At 43.4% G+C, this 21,957-nt stretch overlaps 1 protein-coding gene and 1 pseudogene across 2 annotated transcripts in view, besides 1 other annotated feature; one reads left to right on the forward strand and one right to left on the reverse strand.

The window, feature by feature from the left end:
- The window catches only part of DTD1 (D-aminoacyl-tRNA deacylase 1), a 178,591-nt gene that overhangs the window by 38,569 nt on the left and 118,065 nt on the right, over positions 1-21,957 (forward strand). Inside the window, exons 4-5 of one of the 2 annotated variants that reach the window (NM_001318043.2) lie at positions 1,505-1,611; positions 3,759-6,062. In NM_001318043.2, coding sequence (NP_001304972.1) covers positions 1,505-1,611; positions 3,759-3,923 — 272 coding nt within the window. In that variant the 3' untranslated portion in view covers positions 3,924-6,062. Of the gene's footprint in view, positions 1-1,504; positions 1,612-3,758; positions 6,063-21,957 lie in introns of those variants that run through there. The other variant, NM_080820.6, reaches the window with a different exon arrangement.
- DUXAP7 (double homeobox A pseudogene 7) lies at positions 15,688-17,025 on the reverse strand (annotated as a pseudogene).
- Positions 21,114-21,615: an enhancer, noted in NCBI's record as "NANOG hESC enhancer chr20:18628380-18628881 (GRCh37/hg19 assembly coordinates)". NCBI's record gives its function as "activates a minimal SCP1, AML or CMV promoter by ChIP-STARR-seq in naive and primed H9 embryonic stem cells {active_cell/tissue: H9 hESC(naive and primed)}" and the evidence as "EXISTENCE:reporter gene assay evidence [ECO:0000049][PMID:30033119]".

Consider the following 21,957-nt stretch of genomic DNA (forward strand, 5'->3'; position numbering starts at 1 on the left):
AGTATAATTCTTTTTGGGCGCTTTACCCTTTGATCTGGACTGGAAAAAAATGTTACCATTTTAAGATCTCTTAAAACATGTCTTTGGATTTATCATCTGTACGGATGGAAATTCACATAATAGTTCTATTCTTAACTGAAGAAAAACAGGAAAAGAAAATAAATTTCTCACTACTTGGAATGATAAACAAGGTGAAGCATATACTGTATATCCTGGCAACAGAAATTCAAGGTCGGAAATAATTCCTGTCCTCTTGAGCCTGCCTTCAGCCTCCCTGAGGAGTGCAGTGACTGAAATTTTCTACTAATTGTAGCCATAATTTTAGCATGCAATTAAACACATGATTTCCTTCCCAGCTGATGTCTTTTTAGTTAGTCTGACATGGATGAGACAAAAGCTCTGTTGATTTGAACGGCCACTTTAATCTGATAGGAGGTCACGGAAAGTCATCATTTTTTGAGCACCTTTGACTATCCAGTAGGATCTAGATTAATCTTGCTTATAAACATGGCCAACAGCTTGGGTGCTTCTAATACAATTTCCAATGCTACTGTCTGTGGGCCAAAGAAAGCTGTCTGTTGGCATGCCCATTTTGCTGAGTCCTTCTGAAGTTAGGGACCCACTGGTAGGAAAGACTCAGAGAAGGAATTTGTGAGGTTGTGGTGGCAGGAACAGAGACTCATGGAGGTCACCCAGGTTGCGGAAGGACCTCAGGGTGTGAGGCCTGCCTGTGCCGCAGTAGCCCAAAAGCAGTGCCTTCCATGGAGGGAGATGGAGGGCTTCACTGCATGCAGTGCAAACATGGCCTTCCAGAATGCTCTGTGTTTGCCTTCCCACCATGTACAGTCCCGGTAACCCACATTCTTTCCCACCCTTGGTGTTACCAGACCTTTTATTTCTTGCCAAATCTGTTGGGCACGCAGCAGCCTCTGTGCTACTTAATCCTGCATTTCCATCCCTCTTACAAGGCTGGCTAACTTTTCCTGTGTTGAGTGGCTGATCCTCCTCCCGGTCAACCTCCTTCTCCCACTGTGACCCGGGTTTTGGATCACGCTGATCTAGGTGTGTGATATGGTTTGGCTGTGCCCCACCCAAATCTCATCTTGAATTGTAACTCTCACAATTCATATGTTTTGTGGGAGGAACCTGGTAGGAGGTAATTGAATCATGGGGGCGGGTCTTTCCTGTGCTGTTCTCGTGATAGTGAATAAGTCTCACGAGATCTGATGGTTTTAAAAACGGGAGTTTCCCTGCACAAGCTCTCTCTCTTTTTGCCTACTGCCATCCATGTAAGATCTGATTTGCTTCTCCTTGCCTTCCGCCATGATTGTGAGGCCTTCCCAGCCGTGAGGAACTGTGAGTCCGTTAAACCTCTTTCTTTTGTAAGTTTCCCAGTATTGAGTATGTCTTTATTAGCAGTGTGAAAATGAACTAATACAGTGTGCTTTTGGATGGAGTAATCTGGTGTCTCCATCTTTGGTAACTGTTTGGATTGCTTTTTCAGATGGCAAGTTTGGGGCCTACATGCAGGTGCACATTCAGAATGATGGGCCTGTGACCATAGAGCTGGAATCGCCAGCTCCCGGCACTGCTACCTCTGACCCAAAGCAGGTAAGCCTGGAGTCTGGTGCCTGGCTCCGTCCCTTGGGTGCCTGTAACATCCCTTTAGTCCCTGGAAGAGTCCTCGGTCTGAGGAAATACATCATTGTTGCAACGTTGTATTTATTTTAATACCTGCCTTCCCAAGAGTGCATGTTTACGGTGCACTCCTGAGTACTGTGGCCGGTGGGTACAGCACTTCTCCCTTGCCTCGTCCTGCCTTTGAATTCCAGAGGACATGTCCTGTGCAGAGCCAGGTTCTTCCCCTGGGCTTCCCTTCCCTTGGCCAGGTGCCGTGGCGCCCACCTGCCCCTGGGTGGCAGCAGAGCAATGGCCCTGGATTGGCCGGTTCACCCATTCCGAATGGTTACCTGAATTGGGTTTGGTCCCAGGTGTGGATAGATGTGCCCCCCAAGGTTTGCTGTAAATCTCCATTTTTCTAAAGCAGTGTCTGACCTGGATTTGCTGCCAATTTGTAAGCTCTCATGAAATAAAAGTTAATTAAAATAGAGAAAGGAAATGTGTAATAGTCCTTGGAACCCGCGTGGTCTCATAGATGCTTAGCATACTTGTAAAGGCTTAATTAACACACTCACTGGATAGAGACACGTAGGGCCTGGCAGGCAGAGGAAGAAGGACTGAGCAAACATTTCCATTCTTCCTTCCCAGTCTCCCTCCCTTGCTAGCATGCTGTGATGGCCAGTGATGCGGCAGTAAGGGGACAGCGTGATAGAAACGTGAAGCTGGGCAACCTGTTCAAAGCCTGATTTTTTTTTTTTTTTTTTTTTTTTTGAGATGGAGTCTCGCTCTTGTTGCCCAGGCTGGAGCACAATGGCGCCATCTTGGCTCACCGCAACCTCCGCCTCCTGGGTTCAAGCAATTCTCCTGCCTCAGCCTCTCGAATAGCTGGGATTACAGGCGCCCACCACCATACCCTGCTAATTTTGTATTTTTAGTAGAGACGGGGTTTCTCCATGTTGGTCAGGCTGGTCTCAAACTCCTGACCTCAGGTGATCTGCCTGCCACGGCCTCCCAAAGTGCTGGGATTACAGGTGTAATCCCACTGTGCTCGGCCTTTTTTTTTTTTTTTTTTTTTTGAGACAGGGTCTTGCTCTGTCACCCAGGCTGGAGTGCAGTGGTGCGATCATGGCTCACTCCAGCCTCGACCTCCCAGGCTCAAGTGATCCTCCTACCTCAGCCTCCTAAGTAGCTGGGACTACAGGCATACGCTACCATGCTGGGCTAATTTTTGAATTTGTGTAGAGAGGGAGTTTTACCATGTTGCCCAGGGTGGTCTTGAACTCCTGGGCTCAACTGATCCACCTAGGGCCTCAGCCTCCCAAAGTGCTGAGATTACAGGCAAGAGTCACCATGCCTGGCCAAAGCCAGATTTTTAAAGTGGAACATAATCTTTCTTTTTTGTTTCTGTATTAGTTTATTCTCATACTGCTATAAAGAAATACCTGAGACAGGGTAATTTATTAAAAAAAAGAGGTTTAATTGGCTCACAGTTCTGCAGGCTGTGCAGGAAGGATGGCTGCAGAGGCCTCAGGAAACTTACAATCATGGTGGAAGGTGAAGGGGAAGCAGGCACATCTTCACATGGCCAGAGCAGAAATAAGAGAAAGCAGGGGGATGTACTACACATTTTTAAACAACCAGATCTCATGAGAACTCACTGTCACGAGAACAGCAAGGGGGAAGTCTACCCCCATGATCCAGTCACCTCCCACCAGGCCCCTCCTCCAATGCTGGGGATTCCAATTCAACATGAGATTTGGGTGGGGACACAAATCCAAACCATAGCAGTTTCTGACTCTTTTTGTATTGAGGAACATGTCTGATGTAGTAGGCTAGACTTCAGTGGTAGTAACTGAGGGTCTTGGAATGACTAATGACATTAAAAAAATCACAAATGAAAAGTCCACATGAAAATGTAAGCTTTTTATTGTGAAATAATTTGAGACTTACAGAAAAGTTGAAAAAACAGAGTTTCCATATACTTTTTAACCCAACTGCCTCTAGTTTCAATGTCTACATAACCATAGTACAATGACCAAGACTTTGAAATTAATGTTGATATAGTACTATTATATTAACTATATTACAAACCTTATTTGAAGTTCACTAGGTTTTTTGTTTGTTTGTTTGTTTTTCAGACGGATTCTCGCTCTGTCTCCCAGGCTGGAGTGCAGTGGCGCGATCTCCGTTCATTGCAAGCTCCACCTCCCGGGTTCATGCCATTCTTCGGCCTAAGCCTCCCAAGTAGCTGGGACTATAGGCACGTGCCACCATGCCCGGCTAATTTTTTTGTATTTTTTTAGTAGAGACGGGGTTTTACCATGTTAGCCAGGATGGTCTCGATCTCCTGCCCTGGTGATCCACCCGCCTCGGCCTCCCAAAGTGCTGGGATTACAGGTGTGAACTACCGCGCCCAGCCAAAGTTCACTAGGTTTTTTAAATGTCTTTTTTCTGCTCCGGGATAATGCAGGATTCCACACGGCATTTAGTTGTCATTTCTGCTTAGTCTTCTCCAATCTGTGACAGTTCCTCAGCCTTTCCTTGTCTTTTGTGACATTGATACTTTTCAAGAGTACTAGTCTACTGTTTTGTAGAATGTTTCTCACTTTGGGTTTTCTATGATTATATTGAGGTAATACATGTTGACAGGAATAGGAAATAGCACAGAAGTGATCTTGTGCCCTTCATAGTGCATCCTACCAGGAGGTATGTGGTATTGATTTGTCTTGTTACCTGTGATACCAGCCTTATTACTTGGTTCAGGTGAAGTCTACCAGATACCTCCATGTTAGATGAAGTGCTAACCTCTTTCCCCTTGTCTGTCCTCTGGCTCATTCACAGCAGACAGCTCTCTCTCAGCTTTGCAGGGAAAGAAGCCAGCAGATGGCATTGACTCTGCTTCTCTATCCCCCTTCTGCCACCGTGGTAGCAGAGCTACCCTTTCCTGGGCTGAGTCCAGCCTCTCCCTGGGGCCAGGACCAGCTACATAATTTGAGAGGCCCAGTGTAAAATGAAAATGTGGGGCCCCTTGTTCAAAAAATATTACAAATTTCAAGGTGGTGACATAGAGCATAAAACGAAAGGTGGGGCCCCTCTGAAGATGGGGCCTGTGTGACTGCTCGGCTGTGGGTCTAGACTGACCTGGGCTTTGGAGCCCTTCCCTTCCACCTCCTCAGCAGCTTCCTGGAAGCCTCTGTCCTCTTGTTGGTTCTGTCTGCCTCTCACAGTCATCCATCTTATCCCATTGGGTTTTAAATATGCCCAAATGTCTCCAATTGAGAAATGCTTCCATTTCCTCCCTTCTGCTCTGCCACAGTGTCCTTGGGTCTGTAAAGGTTCTCACCGAGGGCCCCAGTGACCTCACATTGCTTTATTTCATGCCCATTTTTCAGAACACTTTTCTTGCCACTGCTGCCCACTTTTGCCCCTGGAAATGGCTGGAGCCTTGTTTCCCAGGACGTCATTCTCTCTGGGTTTTTGTCTTGCCTCTGGCTACTCCCTCTGGTTTTATTTGATCATTATTCCATAGTTTTTAGTTATTATTCTGCTTTAACTCTATTTGGAGAAAAATTTTAGTCTTTTTTTCATTCTAAATATTTTTCTGGAAATGGTAGAATAGTACATTTTGCCTTTAGAATCTTCACCTTTCTTTCAACCAGTACCCTCTTCTTGTTTAGGTCAAAGGGTACAAAGATGCAGTTATTTTGGGTGAGTAAGTCTCAAGATCTAATGTACACCATAAGGAGTGCAGTATCATATTGTGCACTGGGAGTAGATTTAGGAATTCTCAGCACACACAGAATAAAGGACGGTAACTGTGTGAGATGCTGGACATGTAATTTACTTGACTGTAGTAATCACTTCACTATGTGTATGTAGATCAGAGCATCATGCTGTACACCTTATACAATAAATCCCTCTCCCCAAATCAAAAAATCCTCAAGTAGGCATTTTTTAAACTTCTAACGAGCCATGTTAACTTATAAGGATTAAAAAAGACTTTTAGTTATTTCTGAATCCTTTAGGAGTTTTCTCCTCAAATACACAAATTGTCTTGCATCAACTTCATTTACATGGACCAGTTTCCTGGCCCCCAGAAGCCTCAGACCCTGAACATTGCACTGCGCTCTGCCCCTAGCTCTCCAGTAGGTGGCGGTGGGTAGGCGCAGAAGCGGCCTGTGTTAGGTTGGTGCTGGCCTGTGCCTGGGGCCTCTCTCTGCCTTTTCTTCTGAATTAGAAGGAGTTTCCTCTTGGAGCAAATAGCTAATTTGCTTGCTTTTGTGTTGATAGGAGGAGCACAGCCAAATTCTTTTTACTGATAGATAAACACGTGTTTCTATCAATTAAGCTTTTAATTCTCAGTGTTTTATTTTTCCATTATATTCCAATCAGTAATGAAAACTGCTACAATTACATTAAAGAAAAATGGTTCTTTTGGCAAATTTCAACGTTATAGAAAAATGATTCTTTTAGCAGGTTCTTTTAAAATATAAATAAGTTCTTTAAACTATCTGAACAAATGGATGATGTGTGTGTGTATATGGATGTATATGTGTGCATGGGTATGTGTGCATATGTGTATGTGTGTGTATGTGTGTGTGTATATGTGATGTGTGTGCCCATGTGCATGTGCATGTGGGTATGTGTGCATGCATTTGTGTATGTATGTAAGCACCAAGTGTCGTTTTGGTATTTGATGGTGTGCTAGGCACTGTGAGGAAGAGAAGGAACTGCTGCTGCCCAGCCTGTGCAGCCGGGGATAGATTTTGGGCAACATAAACCTGAAAGGTTAATGACAGTGAAAGAGGTGGACAGCATAAGACAACTTAGGAAAGGTTACAAGACCATTCAGTTTGTGCTCCTCCTTAGAACTCTTCAGTGCCTTCCAAGTGCATTTTGCTGAAGCCTTGCATTCCTTGCTGTCATTTGCCAAGGCCTAAGTGACCAGGCGTCCGTGGCCCTTTCTTGCCTGCTCTGTGGCTGTCTTTCCCTCCATCCCTATGCTTCACCTACTGCATCTGCTGTTGCCTCCTCTCCCTTGCTGAGAAGAGGGTCAAGCTCTTTCCTACCTCGGAGCTCTTGTCTCAATTCCAGGGTCTCCCCCTCCTTCTCCAAGAATCTCTGACCCCCACAGTTCCCAGGAAGCCCCTTCGGCTACTCTACTCTGCCCTGTTGCTCTGATGGTGTATTTCACAGACTTCACACCATCTGCTATCATGGTCCACACCACTCATAAAACTCAAGCTCCCTGAGTGTTGTTCACTGCCCTGTCCAGGGAGGTGTGTGTGGGTGGGAGGGGTGGTGTTTGTTTAGCAGTGGTGCTCACAGCTGGTGGGCTGTGGTGTCTATGAATGTCCTGAGTTCAGAGAAGGCCATTGTCACTGCTGTTGCCTCTCAGCCGAGTGGGCCTCCCAGGGGACCGGAGGTTTTAGCTGACCTTTAAGGATATGGAAAGTAGAAGGGATTCCCAATTATTGTTTTCAAATTTCTACTTCAAATAAGGGTAGATTCTTATTTTCAAGAATCTCAGAGCTCTACTTATGTGATGCAGCTACTGCTGGTGAAGACTGAGCTGGTAAAGGTAACCAGCAGTTTGCCTTTCTAACTGGACCGCTGCTTGTTTGCAGAACTGGCTGCTGCAGCATCTGCATGCTTTCCATGCAGCATACCCATCACATTATAGGCTGCTGCGTGGGTTTCATGCTATGTCCTGGCAGTGATAAGTTGGAAGGAGAGCATTACATTCTTGCTCCAAATGACATATTTCCAAAGGGAACAGGACATGGAAGCAGCAGCAGAACCAACTGACTGCTGTTTTGCCTGGTGCATTTTTTGCAGGAGAACACGATTCTGGTAGGAACATCCTGCTTATTATTACCTAGTGCATGATTGCTGGTGCATGAGCTCTTCCATTGGTGGCTAGATATTGGGAGATTTTAACACCCTAGCCTGCCATTTCTGTGATAGAAGCTTATTCTTGTCTTGTTTTAATCTTAAGTGCTCTTTCTCTGCGTAGGGCTTGTTTTCCTGAGCCTCACATGGATTGGGGGGCAGATGGAGGTTTTTCCTGGTGAGAAGGGCCATTGGTAATTGAAGGACTCTTCCCTGGGGCCTAGGGCCCACTTAGTTCATAGTGTTGCCATTAATTATTTACATTCTCATTTATTTAGTGCCATCGAAGCCCTCATTAAATTGAAATGCTGGAAGGAGCTAAAAAAATGAACTTTCAAGTATACATGTTTGAGTTAACGGACGTGTTTATTGACAAATCACTGGGATGAGTTGGCTAGCGAAACACGGTGCCTTCAATTTTACGGAGCTATTAATTTTACGCTCCTCTGAGTATCACCGTTGCTCTGTCCATAATTTTCTCTGTATACTTGTCTTATCAGCAAGCATTAATCCCTGAGCCTGGACCTTGGAATGTCAAGATTGAGACATTCATGGCTTTTGTAGGATCTGAAAGAAATATGTAGGGTAAGGGGGTGTGGGGGAAAAGAATTACATTTGGTTTTATTTATTTATACTTCCAGTGACAGGGGCAGCCTTTTGATTACCTGCTGTGGAATCCAGAGGTGAAATGAAGGACACATGAGCACACAGGTGGCTTGCTTCTACCAGGTGGCCCCATCACAGGTGCACAGAGGGGAGCTCTCACTTGCTGCATATTTCAGTTTGGGGGACAAATCAAATGAGAAGTACTCTGAATATAAGGAAGAATTATGTTGTTGCTAATAACTTTGCATCTCTTCATGGAAGAACAGTTATTTAAATGTACTCCTTTTCACTCTGTTTTTAGGCTTGAATTCTAGATTCTAGCTCCCTAATTGTGGTTGGTTTCAGCTTCAGTGTTCACATGGCCTGAACCAAGCTCGAGTTGTTGACTTGCTGCAGGAGTATGTTTTAAAGTCTGGTTGCCAAGATGGTAGCCAGATCTTGTCAATTACTCCAGAAATATTAGTTCATTTTGTCATATTAATTTATTGAACAAACGCTGACTGAGGGTCCAGCTTTGTTTATGCTGAAGTATCACCAAAACAGAAGTGGGAACTCAGCAAAGCGTCCTCATTACAGAGTTGTTGCTGTTGTGCAGTCTTTGTCAGTGACGCTGACTTCTGGGACGTAGGCTGCCACATGGAAGGCCTCCTACCAGGGCTAGGGCGCCACCTGGCCAGACCTCTCACCACACATGGAATCACCTGGATTTCTGATCCTTTCTGTCTGAGCACCTGCTTTCCATGAATTATGAGATCAGCTCAGCCCTCTGGGGAGTGAGTTGGGTGTAGAGATGGTGGAGCTCCTGACCTCACTCAGCCCAGCCCACTGCTCTGCACAGTCAGAATTTATCCTGAGTCCTTGTCAGTGCCTGGGGGAATGCCTGCCTATTGCATGAATATTTGGTATGAAAGGGTGGGAGCTTAGTAGATGTTTTTCTTCCTGGTGGAGAGCTGTAAGGGATCACTTTTATCACTTTAATTTGTTTCCAAATAGATGGTTGTCCTAAGTCAGCTCATAGTGGGCTTAAAAAGAAGCCTTTACAAGGCTGGCATGACTGTCTCTTTGTTGGGGACCCATTGATGAATTGATTAATCAATTGACTTTCACCTTACCATCTTAAATCCATAGCACAGGTTAAGGAAATTGCAAAAATTGAAAAGAGTTTTTTTCTCTTCTACTGGAATATGTCTGGTAAATTAAAAACTAGGATCTGTTTCTTTTCTACCATTGACACATAAGACATTTCTAATCTCCAACCAGAGCAAAATATCTGTTTTGCTTTAAACCAGTCTCTCAGGACACTAATGGGGTAGTGCATTTAAGGTTTAAGGGCTTTATTTGTTTGTTCCTGTATATGTGTTTTGGGCAGATTCCTAGTTATTTTAATCTTATAATCTCATTTGTGTGTGTGTTAAAAAAAAACGAACTCCTTACCTTGCTGACTTGACCTGCCAAAGATTAACAGCATCCTTTTTATTCTGAAGGGAGAGAGGTAGAGTTTTTCCTTCCATGGATTTATACATTGTGCATAGCAATAATTTAGTTAAACAGACTCAGTATTTTAATTGGGAATTCTTAGCTTGTTAAGTGATTTACCAGGAGCTTCACAGTCCCGGGTAATTGTAGAAAAATGTTCTGCCAGTCAGTGGTGTTTTGCAGAAAACCTTGCCGAAACATTTGCTTTAGTAATGGAGAGAGAATGAAAGATCTGGAAGTGATAGAATTCTAAAAAATGCAGCACTTGCTATACTTTTTTTACAGGCATAGATAAAACCCTTATCTACACAGAGGTGTTTGCCAGCTTGCCGCAGTATAGGTGTAGTCTGTAATGACTGATGAGGTAGTTATCTTTTTTAATCTTAAAGAGAAGGTTAGGATGGGTCAGTGGGGTGTGAGTTGGATCAAGTAGACTCTTAGGGGCTCACAGACTGGCCTGAGCTTATCCCACAAGTTTTGTATGTGTGGATGTGTGCAAGTGCCTTTTGCTGGGAAAAAGGGGACCAGGACTTTTGTCACATTCTCTGGAGGTCCCAAGAAGTGAAGAGGCTGGTGGACTGGGGACTGTTGTGTGCAGAGATTACACATTCTTTCTCTATCAAAGTTATCCAGGGGTTGGTGGTAGTGTTCCTCAAACGGCAGACTGAGGACCACTGGCATCAAGCCACCCATGGTGCTTACTAAAATGCAGGGTCCTGGGCCCACCCAGGTTTTCTGAGCCAGAGTTCCTGGAGTGTCTGGATGAGGAAGGCAGAAGAGTAGCCCATTTATGTTTCTAACCAGGTCTTTGTGTGCTCCTAAGCACACTGACATTTGGGAACTACTGGAATAGAGAGAATCAGGCCTTGCAGTGATCATCTGCTCCAGGTGTTGGTTTCTTCTGGACCACCCTGCCCTCCCTTCCTCACCCCCAACTGTCTAAAAATACTTTACAACCTATGTTACTGCAGCTGCCAGGAAACAAGATGGCTTTGCTTGATTATTGAGGTCACATGTGAGTCTGTTCTTATTCATCAACGAGCCCTCAGTCTCCCAACACCCCTTCCCCCTGCCACACAGGCAGTGATGAAAATGTTTCCAGAATATGGTGCCTTCTCAACGCAATTACAGATGTGTCAGGGAAAAGCCGATGCAGCAACAACAGCTCAATATGTTAGTGACTGATGATCAGCCGCTCTACTGGGTGACATTGAGGCATATGCTGGGGTAATAACTTTTTTCCTAGGAGAGATGAGCCCAACATGTGGATTGCTCAATGAGTGTGCAAGATTGTAGCAGTGTAGCCACTTTAAGACTTGTAGTTGAAAGTAATTTATAGTTTTCTTGGCTTTCTGAGTACCAGACATGGAATGCCTTACTCATCTGTCGAAGTGTTAATGGAACTAGAATAAAAACCCAGGGTGATCGACATCTTAGCCTCTGCATGGAAATTGTAGTTTAATGAAATTCATGAATGTGGAGGCTTCCATGGGCAGTTAGCTGATCATTTACATTTAAACACACATGGGAAATTGTTAAGGGCTCATATTTTATGATGTATTATTACCTATTCAGTTCATGGTAAAAGCTTTTCACAATGAATTGTAGACTAGTTTCCTGCAGATTATTTATTGTTTCATGAATAAGTATCACAATTTTTTCTCCTTTGTGTCTCTGCTCATCCACCTGAAATGAACTCCTTCCCTGTCTCTACCTGCTGACATCTTCCCCATCTTTTAAGGTTCATTTCAGATAGGTAGCTCTTCACACATGATGCTTACCTCAGTGCCCATCCAGGCGAGGCCTTTCTTCCTGCCTTTGGCTCCCCATCACGTGGTGTGGCAAGGATTTCGTAGTGGTAATGCCCTTGAATAAAAAGCTCATGCTCATTTGTTTGTTTGCTTGCTTGTTCATTTATCCATTTATCCATCCACCCATATGTCCCTCCATCTGCCCATCCATCCATCCATCCATCCATCCATCCATCCATCCATCCATCTATCCATCCACTCACCTGTCCACTACCTACTCATCCAATACCTTTATCCAGCAGATTATTATTGGGTGCTTGCTCTGTGCTGGCCCTGCATGTAGGTCCAGCACTGAAACAACATTGTACCCTCATGAAGCTTCCATTCTAGTGGAGAAACAAACAAAAACAAAAACAAGTATAATTTAAAATTCTGATGATATAAAGAAATCAAACAGGGTTAGGTGTAGAGAATGCTGTTGGCTAGAAGTCCCCTTAGGTGCAAGCGCTAGGGAAGGATGCTGAGATAAGAGGGAGCCAGTGAAGACTGAAGGAAGAGTGCCAGACAGAGGGGTCAGCAGATGCAGAGCTCTAGGGTGACTGGTGGAAGAAAGGCCAGTGTGGCTGGAGCTTGGAGGGTGACAGGGAGAGGGGCAGAACCTGAGGCCAGAGCTGTGACCTGGGGTTGATGGAACAAGGCCTCATGGGCCAAGGTAAGGAATTTGGCTTTTATTGTTAGTAAGCCAAAGACCTGTTAGAATGTTGAGAGCTCTGATTTGTGTTTGCAGAGATGGATGAGACTGGGTTTAGTGTAGGCTCAGGATCGGGGGATGTGTGGCTTGTGACAGGGTGGCAGAGAGGGCATTTAGGAGCTGTGGAAAGATTCTGGATACACTTTGGAGGCCCTCAACCACTCTCATATTCTGCCTTCCACAGTAGAGCTTTTCTGTCAGTGACTCATGTTTGGTTCTTTCATACTGTGGCTTGAGCATTAGAGAGTAATATTGTAAAGTTCAACCTCCCACAGTTCACTGCAGGAATGACCCCATTCTTGCCTCCAAGGCCAGCATGGTGGAGGGATTCCATGGCATGAGTTTCTATGATGACATCAGACATTGGACATCAAGGAGTGCGATGCTCACCCCTGGTTTTTAGTGATCCTTGGGCACAGTCTGGACACAAAAGCCAGAACTTGTTTGATGGTTTTTTTTTTAAGAAAAAAAAAAAAAAAAGCAAGCAAGTTCAGGGAAGCAGTCTCCTTTTTCCTGGTCAACATGAAGCCAAGTGTTTCACTATTGCCCAGTTTTCCCCCAAATACAAAAACATTAATTTTAAAAAGATACTGTAAAAAGCCCAAGAAACATGTATATTGAATTTGATTTATGTATACTATTGTAGCTAATATTTTCAGGGAAATTTCTAAATGTCTGTCATAGGAGCTTGTCAGAAAAAGAAAGATTTATTTTTGGAAAAGTATGTTTCCTGGTGTTCATTGAGCTTGGAAATTATGGAAAGTCATTGTCAGAAGGGAGGCAGCTGCTCCAGAGGCGGAGTGGAAGTCAGGACTGGAGAAGGTTGTCCTACTGTGGGCTCCAGCGTGCCTCTTGCTGCTAGCTGGTCAAGAGTCTCGCAGCAGCCACTTTATACCTCACTAGCTCCACCATCGCAATTATTTCTGTCAAAACGAAACACAAAAGAATGGCATGTCTATGAATATTCTTCACAGAAAATATATTCGTTTGACTATTTTCCATAAAATGTGAAGTCAATTTCTTTTTCTATTTTTAATCATGAAAGTGAAGCCCGGAAGCCTCAATTTCTTTGTAATGGAAAGATCTGAGTTTGTGGCCTTGTTTCCATTTTCCACTTCTCCTTTGCTAAGTCAGGAACATGATACTCACATAATATCCCCCGGGCAGTGGCTCTGTTCAGGAATTGCATGGCTGTTTGACTGCAGAGGGAGGGCAAAGGCTATTATTAACCATTCGTGTCATTGTTGGGTCATGAAACCTTCAGGGGATAAGTATAAGTTCTATAAAATTTCATTTTGAAATCCAGACCAGATCTGGCCTTATGCTCTGAGGATTTTTTTTTTTTTTTAAGTTTCATGTTGTCCCTTTGCCCCCCTTCATTTTCTCTTGGGAAGAGTCTCTTATTATCATAATTACTACTTGAAAAAAAATTCCAAGCAAGAAAGCAGTGTATTAACTGGAAAGTAACAATTTAGAAATGTTATTTTTTAATAGTAAGCTTTTATAGTATTCCTGGGTAGAAAGGTATTTTTATAGAAACAGTTATTTTCCTATCTTTTTTCTCATGAGTCCATAAAATAGCATTTTTATATCAATTTTTGTTATATCTAATACATAAAATCAGTATTCTTTTAAGAATTTAGAAGTTTAAGATACACTAAAAATATTTTTGACAATAACTCTCATTCTCAGAGGTAGCGCCGTTAATAAGTTCTATGTATTTACTTCCAGACTTAACAAAAATATGTTTACCCACATTTACACATGGTATCTCTGGGTGGGTATATGTCAGAAGATTTTTTTAAATTGTGTTTAATTATACATAACCTAAAATTTTTAGGTATACAGTTTCGTGGCATTAGTATATTCACATTGTTATGCAACTTTTATTATCACCATCTATCTGCAGAATTTTTTTTTTTTTTTTTTTAAGACGGAGTCTCGCTCTGTCACCCAGGCTGGAGTACAGTGGAGTGATCTCAGCTCACTGCAACCTCCATCTCCCAGATTCAAGCAATTCTCCTGCCTCAGCCTCCCGAGTAGCTGGGATTACAGGCATGCGTCACCGTGCCTGACTAATTTTTGTATTTTTAGTAGAGATGAGGTTTCACCATGTTGGCCAGGCTGATCTCAAACTCCTGACCTCAAGTGATCTACCCGCTTCGGCCTCCCAAAGTGCTGGGATTACAGGTGTGAGCCACTGCTCCCAGCCTATCTACAGAATTCTTTTTATCTTACAAAACTGAAACTTTACCCTTAAGTAGTAATTCCCGATTCTCTTCTCCCTTCAGCCACTGGCAACGGCCCTTCTATAATACTTTCTGCCTTTTGAATTTGACCACTCTGAGTATCATATGAATAATCATATGGTATTTGTCCCTTTGTGACTGGCTTATGTCACTTAGCATAATTTCTTCAAGATTCATCCATGTTGAGCCTTATGTTCATAGCATGTGTCAGAGTTTTCTTTTTATGGCCACAGAATATTCTCTTGTATACCGTATTTTGTCTATCCATTCGTTTATCCATGCACACTTGGGTTGTTTCCACTTTTTCATTATTGTGAATAGCGCTGCTGTTAACATTGGTGTACCAATATCTCTTCAAGACCCTGCTTTTAATTCCTCTGGGTAAATACCTAGGTACAGGTTGTGGATCATATGGTAGTTCTTTGTTTAATTTTTTGAGGAACCACTATACTGTTTTCCACAGCGTCTGTACCATTTTACATTCCTACCGGCAATGCTCAAGGGTTCTGATTTCCCCACATCCTCACCAACATTTGCTGTTTTGTATGTGTGTTTGTGTGTGTGTGTGTGTGTGTTTTCTGATACTGGTCATCCTAATAAGTGTGAAGTGTATCTCATTGTGGTTTTGATTTACGTTTCTCTAATGATTAGTGATGTTGAGCATCTTTTCATGTGCTCCTTGGCCATTTGTATATCTTCTTTGGAGATCTATTTCAGTTCTTTGCCCAGTTTTGAATTGCTTTGTGTTTTTTTTATTGTTGAATTGCAGAAGTTCTTTATGTATTCTGTGTATTAATTTCTTAACAGATAGATGATCTGCAAATATTTTCTCTCATCCTGTGGATTACCTTTTCACTCTGTTGGTGGTGTTTTCTGATGTACAGAAGTTTTTAATTCTGATGAAATCCAATTCGTCTGTTTTTGCTTTTGTTGCCTGTGCTTTTGATATTATATCCAAGAAATCATTGCCAAATCTAAATCATGAAGCTTTTTCTTTATGTTTTCTTCTGAGAGTTTTATAGTTTTAGCTTTTACATTTAGATATTTGATCCATTTTGAGTTAGTTTTAGTATATGGTATAAGGTGTATGATGTTTTTACTTGCAGACAGGTTGGGAGACCAGTATCAGGGACTTTATTTTCTGAAATCACTTGAGAGTAAGTTGTTGGCCTGATGCCTTCTCACCCTTGAATTCATTAGTATCTTTCCTGCAAACAGGGACATTCTCTTATAGAAGCCCCAAAACAGCTGTCAAAATCAGAAAATTAGCATTGACATTTTACTAGCAGCCATCTTCAGCCTCCATAATTTACCAGTTATCCCAAGGAGGTCTTTTATTACTATTATTATTAAGTTTATTTTCATTGTCTCAAGGTCTGCTGAACTCTGGATCCAGGCTGTGTCAGTAGGGTAGTGTGATGCCTCTTGTACCTATCTCTGCCTCCTACAGTTCTTTTTATTTATTTTATTTTATTTTTTATCATAGAGACAGGGTCTTGCTGTGCTGCTCAGGCTGGTTTCAATCTCCTGGGCTCAAGCAATATTCCTACCTCTGCCTCCCAAAGTGCTGAGATTACAAGTATGAGCCACCGCACCTGGCCAAGTTGTTTACCCTCTTCAGAAGGCTTAGCTTGCAGTTTCAGCAGAAGGATCGACTCCCAGGAAGACCGTGAGAGAGATTTGGGACCCAAGTTGATAATACTAAATACACTGAACTTGAGTGTTTTCACCATGTTCTGGCTCTAGGGAAGTGACAGTTGCTAGTGAGGTTGGTGCTATTGTATGTGTCTTCTGTACCTTGAAGTCCCTCAGAGATCTTGCCCCTGGTCTTCTTGTTCTAAGGACACAACAGGTTCCCTTTTTCTCTGAAGATGAAATCTAGATCTTTGATTTTGGAACCAAATTTGGACTCTTGACTCTGGAGCACCAATTTCTTTCTTTCTTTTCTTTTCTTTTATTTTTTTTGAGACAGAGTTTCGCTCTTGTTGCCCAGACTGGAGTTCAATGGTGCGATCTCTGCTCACCGCAACCTCTGCCTCTTGGGTTCAAGAGATTCTCCCGCCTCAGCCTCCCCAGTAGCTGGGATTGCAGGCATGTGCCACCATGCCCGGCTAATTTTGTATTTTTAGTAGAGATGGGGTTTCTCCATGTTGGTCAGGCTGGTTTCGAACTCCTGACCTCAGGTGATCCACCCGCCTCAGCCTCCCAAAGTGTTGGGATTACAGTTGTGAGCCACTATGCCCAGCCTGGAGCACCAATTTATTTAGCAATTTGTTCTCTGGAATCAATCCCAGGGTATGGGTTTTTCATAAATGCCTTGTTGAGAGTGCGTAGTTGAGAGGTGCTGTAGGTAGTACGACACCGTCTGGCTTCTCTACCAGGTTGATCTTGCTTATGGCTCTGGCTTGACTCTAAAGTCTCAGGTCTGATCTTTCCTGGAATCTGTGCCTAGCTCTTCGATTCTGAAACCAAATCTGGATTCTGGGTGAATCTTCTGTATTGATTTCTAAAGCAAGTTTTTGTTTGATAGCATAATCTGAGTAAAGTTTTTGATTGAAGCTATTGATGAGAATTTTCAATTAATCTTCTGTGAATTTGGTGCAACTGCACCTATGACTTGTTGCTACCATCTTGTGTGAAGAGTTGTCTTCAGCCATGCTGGAAGAGAGTCCCAAGAAGGTCTTCATAGTGAAAGGATCCAGTTCAGAATCATGCCTTGTATTTGGTTGTCATGTGTCTTTAGCGTCCTTCATTCTGGATCATTTCCTCAGTCTTTCCTTGATTTTCATGACCTTGAGTCTCTGGAAGAATACAGGCCCATTATTTTGAAGCATGTCCCTTAATTTGGGTTTGTCTGATGTTTCCTTAAGATTAGATTCAGGGTGTATGTGTGTATGTGTGTGTGTGTGTACATGCACTTGTATGTGCACAGGTGCTTGAAAGAAATGGTCCTATATTGCCTATGTTTTTGTGAAACATGCTTTCTTTCCCACCCCACAAGGGCATTTGTGTGTTTACATATGCAGCTAGATCATTCATTTTAACTGCAAGATGGGATTCTGTCCTATGAATATACTGCATTTTGTGTAGCTATTTTCCTTTTGATGGATTTATGGAGTTGGTCGCAATTTTTTGCTCTTACTAATGATGATGCAAAATTGCTTTTTTTACATCTCCTTTTGTGGATCTAGATTTTCTAGGTAATAGAAAATTGCTCCTTTATAATGTTTGTTATTGTTTTTAAAATTTGAAGTATTTCAAACATACTAGATCTGTACAGAGAATGGTATAACAACACCTCACTTTAGCACATGTTAATATGGGCTCTACAATCTTTAAGTTGGTAGAATTATTTTATTCAATAAATGGCTAAACTGGGAGTTTTACAGGGACTTGTTCTAAGTTAGCATCTCACTGAGTGAGAATTATTGTTAACGATAAAGTTGCCTCAAAACTATGTAGCTTTCTCCAAGAAGGAGATATTTTGGGAAAACTGTCAGGTTTAACAAACAGAACATGTATACCTCCCAGATGTGACCTGTGAATAAAATACCAGGTAGGCTCAGCCAACTTTTCTTTTATGCTTCTTTCATGTCTTTCTTAATAGAATTTAATAAAATGAAACAGGAGGAGGAATCATCAAAGGTTAGGAATAATAGACCTGAAAGAGTTGCTTGGAACCTGTGTAGATTCATTTCTCATCTTGGTTCCTTTACTTGGCATCAGGTGAGATGAGACATCCATTCAGGAATTCATTCCAAGTCTATTTCAGTACCCAGGATAGATTTGAGATAAATCAGTTCCATACTGAGGTGTGACATTAGGCAAATCAAGGGAAGGAGGAGGAAAGGAATCAGGTCAGAGCTCAGCTTACTTTATTCAACCGTGGCGTATGGGGCCAGGCGCAGTGGCTCACATCTATAATCCCAAGACTTTGGGAGCCCAAGGCAGGAATATCGCATGAGCCCAGGAGTTTGAGACCTGCCTGTGCAACATAGCAAGACTCCATCTCTACAAATAATAATAAAAAAAAATTAGCAGAATGTGGTGGTGCACGTTTGTAGTCCCAGCCAGTCGGAAGGCTGAGGCGAAGAATCACTTGAACCCAGGGGGTTGAGGCCACAGTGAGCCATGATCGTGTGTCTGGACTCCAGCTTGGGCAACAAAGTGAGAACTTGTCTGTAAATCAACCGATCAATGAATCAATCAATCAATCACCTGTGGTACATGGAGTTCTATAAAGATAGGTAGATAGATGAGAGATAGAGAGAGAGAAATTCGGGACTTGGAGAGGAGTGCAGCATCAGGAGTTTTATTGAAGCATCTAATTTTCACCTGCAGAAATGGAAACAAGGAGGAACTGGTCTCCTAATTTACATACCCGCAGGGAGAAATCTGTGTGTAACTCTAGATTGCAGTGCCCGGAGCAGAAGCAGAGGCATGTGGCCAGTTGTGTCTTCCTACCAGTTCTGGAAAAATGAGATAGACTTAGATACCAGCTCCTGCAAGCTTTGGAGGTGTGGCCTCAATATCTAAAATGAAGTCTCTGTGTGCCTGTTGTTGGGTGTTTTTGTTTTTAATGCTTAATTGCATTCCTAGAATTCCCAGGTTTGCCTGTTAATAGTGGAATACTATACAAAGGAACCACAGAGGTTTCTTAACATTTACACTACATTGGAATCCTATTCCTGGCTGAAATGGTGTTTTGCAGAAATGTGGCATTCATTTTTATGTTTTGGTACCTGGGTTATGGGTAAGGATAAAAGGTCTGTGGCCTTCAGCCTGAAAAATAACAGCAACAACAGGAACCACAACCGGGAGTCAGTTTGGGGCTTTGATGGGTTCCTTTTTCATAGTGTTTTAAGGACTATATATTTAAAGGCGCTAAAAATGAAATGTTAGTATTTTAGCATATGGCAGAGTGGACATGTTTCAGTCATCAGTTTAAGATTCTGGGCATAGTGTATAAATAGTAATTCCGAGGGTATTTTTTCCTTCATCCTTCCTAGAGATGTAGAATGCTTGGCATTTGAAATGAGGTCATCCAAGGCCTTGGATTGCTGCTACAGATAGTGGAGGCCTGTTGTTAGGCGTCTACCTCACATTTGTGTCCAAGGCCCTGGGAGAGACCAAAGCAGAAGCGAGGCCTCACTGGACAGGTACAAGGCACTGGCAGGCATGGCACACCTTCACTATGTACCCCGTCTTTGTGGCTGTCAACGCCTGTGACGAGTTGGCAGCTGGCTTTGGTCTGGCATTTGTTCTGTAGGTGGCTGAAATGCCCATCATGGAAGAATGTCCTCATGGGTTTGTAAGGAAAGGGGCTCTCCTTGTGCAGATGCCTGCTGCTGTGCACACACCTTCCCATGGAGCTTGTGGGCCGCATCTCAAGGGGGTCACTGGGCTTCCTGTAGTCCTGAATCTACCATTCACCCCATCTGTCTCTCTGTTAAAGGCTGGGGCAATACAAATGATGCTGAGTGTAGTTTTGTCCTTTATTTTTCCTCATGAAAACCCTTGAGGAACTAAAGGAAGGAAAAGAGGAGTAGCCTAAAGCAGGTCTGGGAGTTGGGTGCCTGGGAATTCTGGCAGGACTCCTACTAAGTGACTTTGGTCACATCACAGAGCCTCTCAGATTTGGTGTTTTCGTGTGTCAGGTTAGAGGGTTGGGCCAGGTGATCCTATGGGGCCTTTCTGGTGCTAGAAACTGGTGACTCTGTGGTGTTGACAGTTGGCCATTCATAGGTGTGCCTTCCTCATGTGCCCTCATTGGCTGTCTCTGTTGACAGTGTTTTTCCTTAGACTTTATTCTCCAGAAAAAACCCACAACCCAACATGGTTTTGAAATCTCCACTGGGGACCCTTAGGAACTTTGCAGGCATCAGTCTTTGTATGCTGATGGAAATCAGATGTCGAGAGAGGAGGGCATGCATGTTAATGAGCCATATGGACCCCATTGCATTTCAGGCTCATCAGCCCTGACCTTCTGAGATGAACCACTTATATTTGGCTTTAACTTGAGCTCAGCAGAACAAAATAAAGCTCTGACAATGGGGGAAAGGAATTCCAACTTTCTCTGCTCTTCTAATCAATCAAGCTGAAAGTCTCAAAGGCCAAGTATTTCAGAAATAACAAATGCAAATAACTTAATTTTCATCGCGAATATCTATTTTCCAAAATGTATTGGTGTTTTCATTGGCTTTGAGTGAGAGGCTCATTTCTGTACTTGACCCTTAACTTTACATATAGAAATTGGGGTGGTTGCCTCCATTTGGTTCCTTTTAAATAAATATTTATTAACTACTTTTCATGTGCCAGATTTCTGTGTGGTGGGTGCTAGAAAGAGTGATAAGCCATGGTTTTTTTCTTCAAGAGCTTGTCCCTTAGTGAGATGGAAGTCACATTGGGGCAGTTCCGAGAGGATGTTATTTGCCTGGTGCTGAGGGAGTGAGTGGAATACAGGGAGGTTTGGTGGGGGCTTGGTCGTCAGAATAGGTGTCCCTGAGCACAGAACAGATGTCTTAGTTGCATCTCGAAGGTTGAGGAAGAGGCAGCTGGGTCTGAAAGCTTGGGGCAAGGGTGGTGCATGCCCAGAAGATCAGGACACGAGCATGGAGGCTTGAACCTCCTGGGGAATGAAAGCAGGTGAGTCTGATGGGGCAAGAAGGCAGGGGGTGGGGAGGATGATGAGGATGGAGAGGCAGCCAGATGTGGCAATGCTGTGTCCTGGTAAGGAGCTTGTACTTTTGTTTTTTGGCGGTGGGCAGTGGGCAGCCACTGAGGAGGGATTTGCAGTGAGGGGAAGGTCAGAAGTCGTCCTCAGCTGTGACCCTCTTGTAGCAGGATGGCAGATAGATTGGACTGGGCAAGGTAAAGGAGGCAGAAAGACCTGAAAGGTGAGAACTGCTGCACTGGGCCAGGGTAGAGAGGAACAGAGCAGGAACAGATGGGCAGGGGCCAGGGGAGAGTGGTGTCATCAACCTAGATGGGGCCCACATCAGGAGCAGGGCTTTGAAAAGATCTCTTCTGTTCCCTGAATCACTGTTGGCCCTGCAGGACCAGTTGTTCTCTTTGTTCACCTGATCCCTTCTCTTTGGTGCTGATAATCTCCCTCAAATAGCCAGTGGCCCTTCATTGTTGGCTCATATTATAGATAAAGGACCAGGTCACGGGTATAGGAAGCTGGTGCAGTCTTCTCTGATACCATGGGAGGCCTTGCTGGGAGGCCAACTGCAGGATCTGTGGCTGTTGGTGGGCAGGTGTGCTTAGTACTTGGTAGCTTTGACCTAAGCCACTGGTTTTCAACCTTGAATGTGCATTAGAATCACCTGAGTTGCTGTGAAAATTCCCAGTGCATAGGCTGTACCCCAAGCCAATGACACCAGATTCTCTGGGGATGGGACCAGAGATGGTTGCGTCTGCAGCTGAGTTTGGGAGCAATGATCTGGGATGTACAGCGAGGGACCAGGATGACAAGAGAGTGCCCAGTGCCTTGCTTGGGGACCTTTTTCCTAGGTCATCCATAGGCTGAATTAGAGCATTTTCAGGTCTCAGTGTAAAATGAAAAATGCCAGACTCCTTGTTCAAAAAGCAGTAGAAAAGTACTTTTAAA

The sequence above is a fragment of the Homo sapiens genome, chromosome 20, assembly GCF_000001405.40.
Source record: "Homo sapiens chromosome 20, GRCh38.p14 Primary Assembly".
In the NCBI taxonomy this organism is placed as follows: domain Eukaryota; kingdom Metazoa; phylum Chordata; class Mammalia; order Primates; family Hominidae; genus Homo; species Homo sapiens.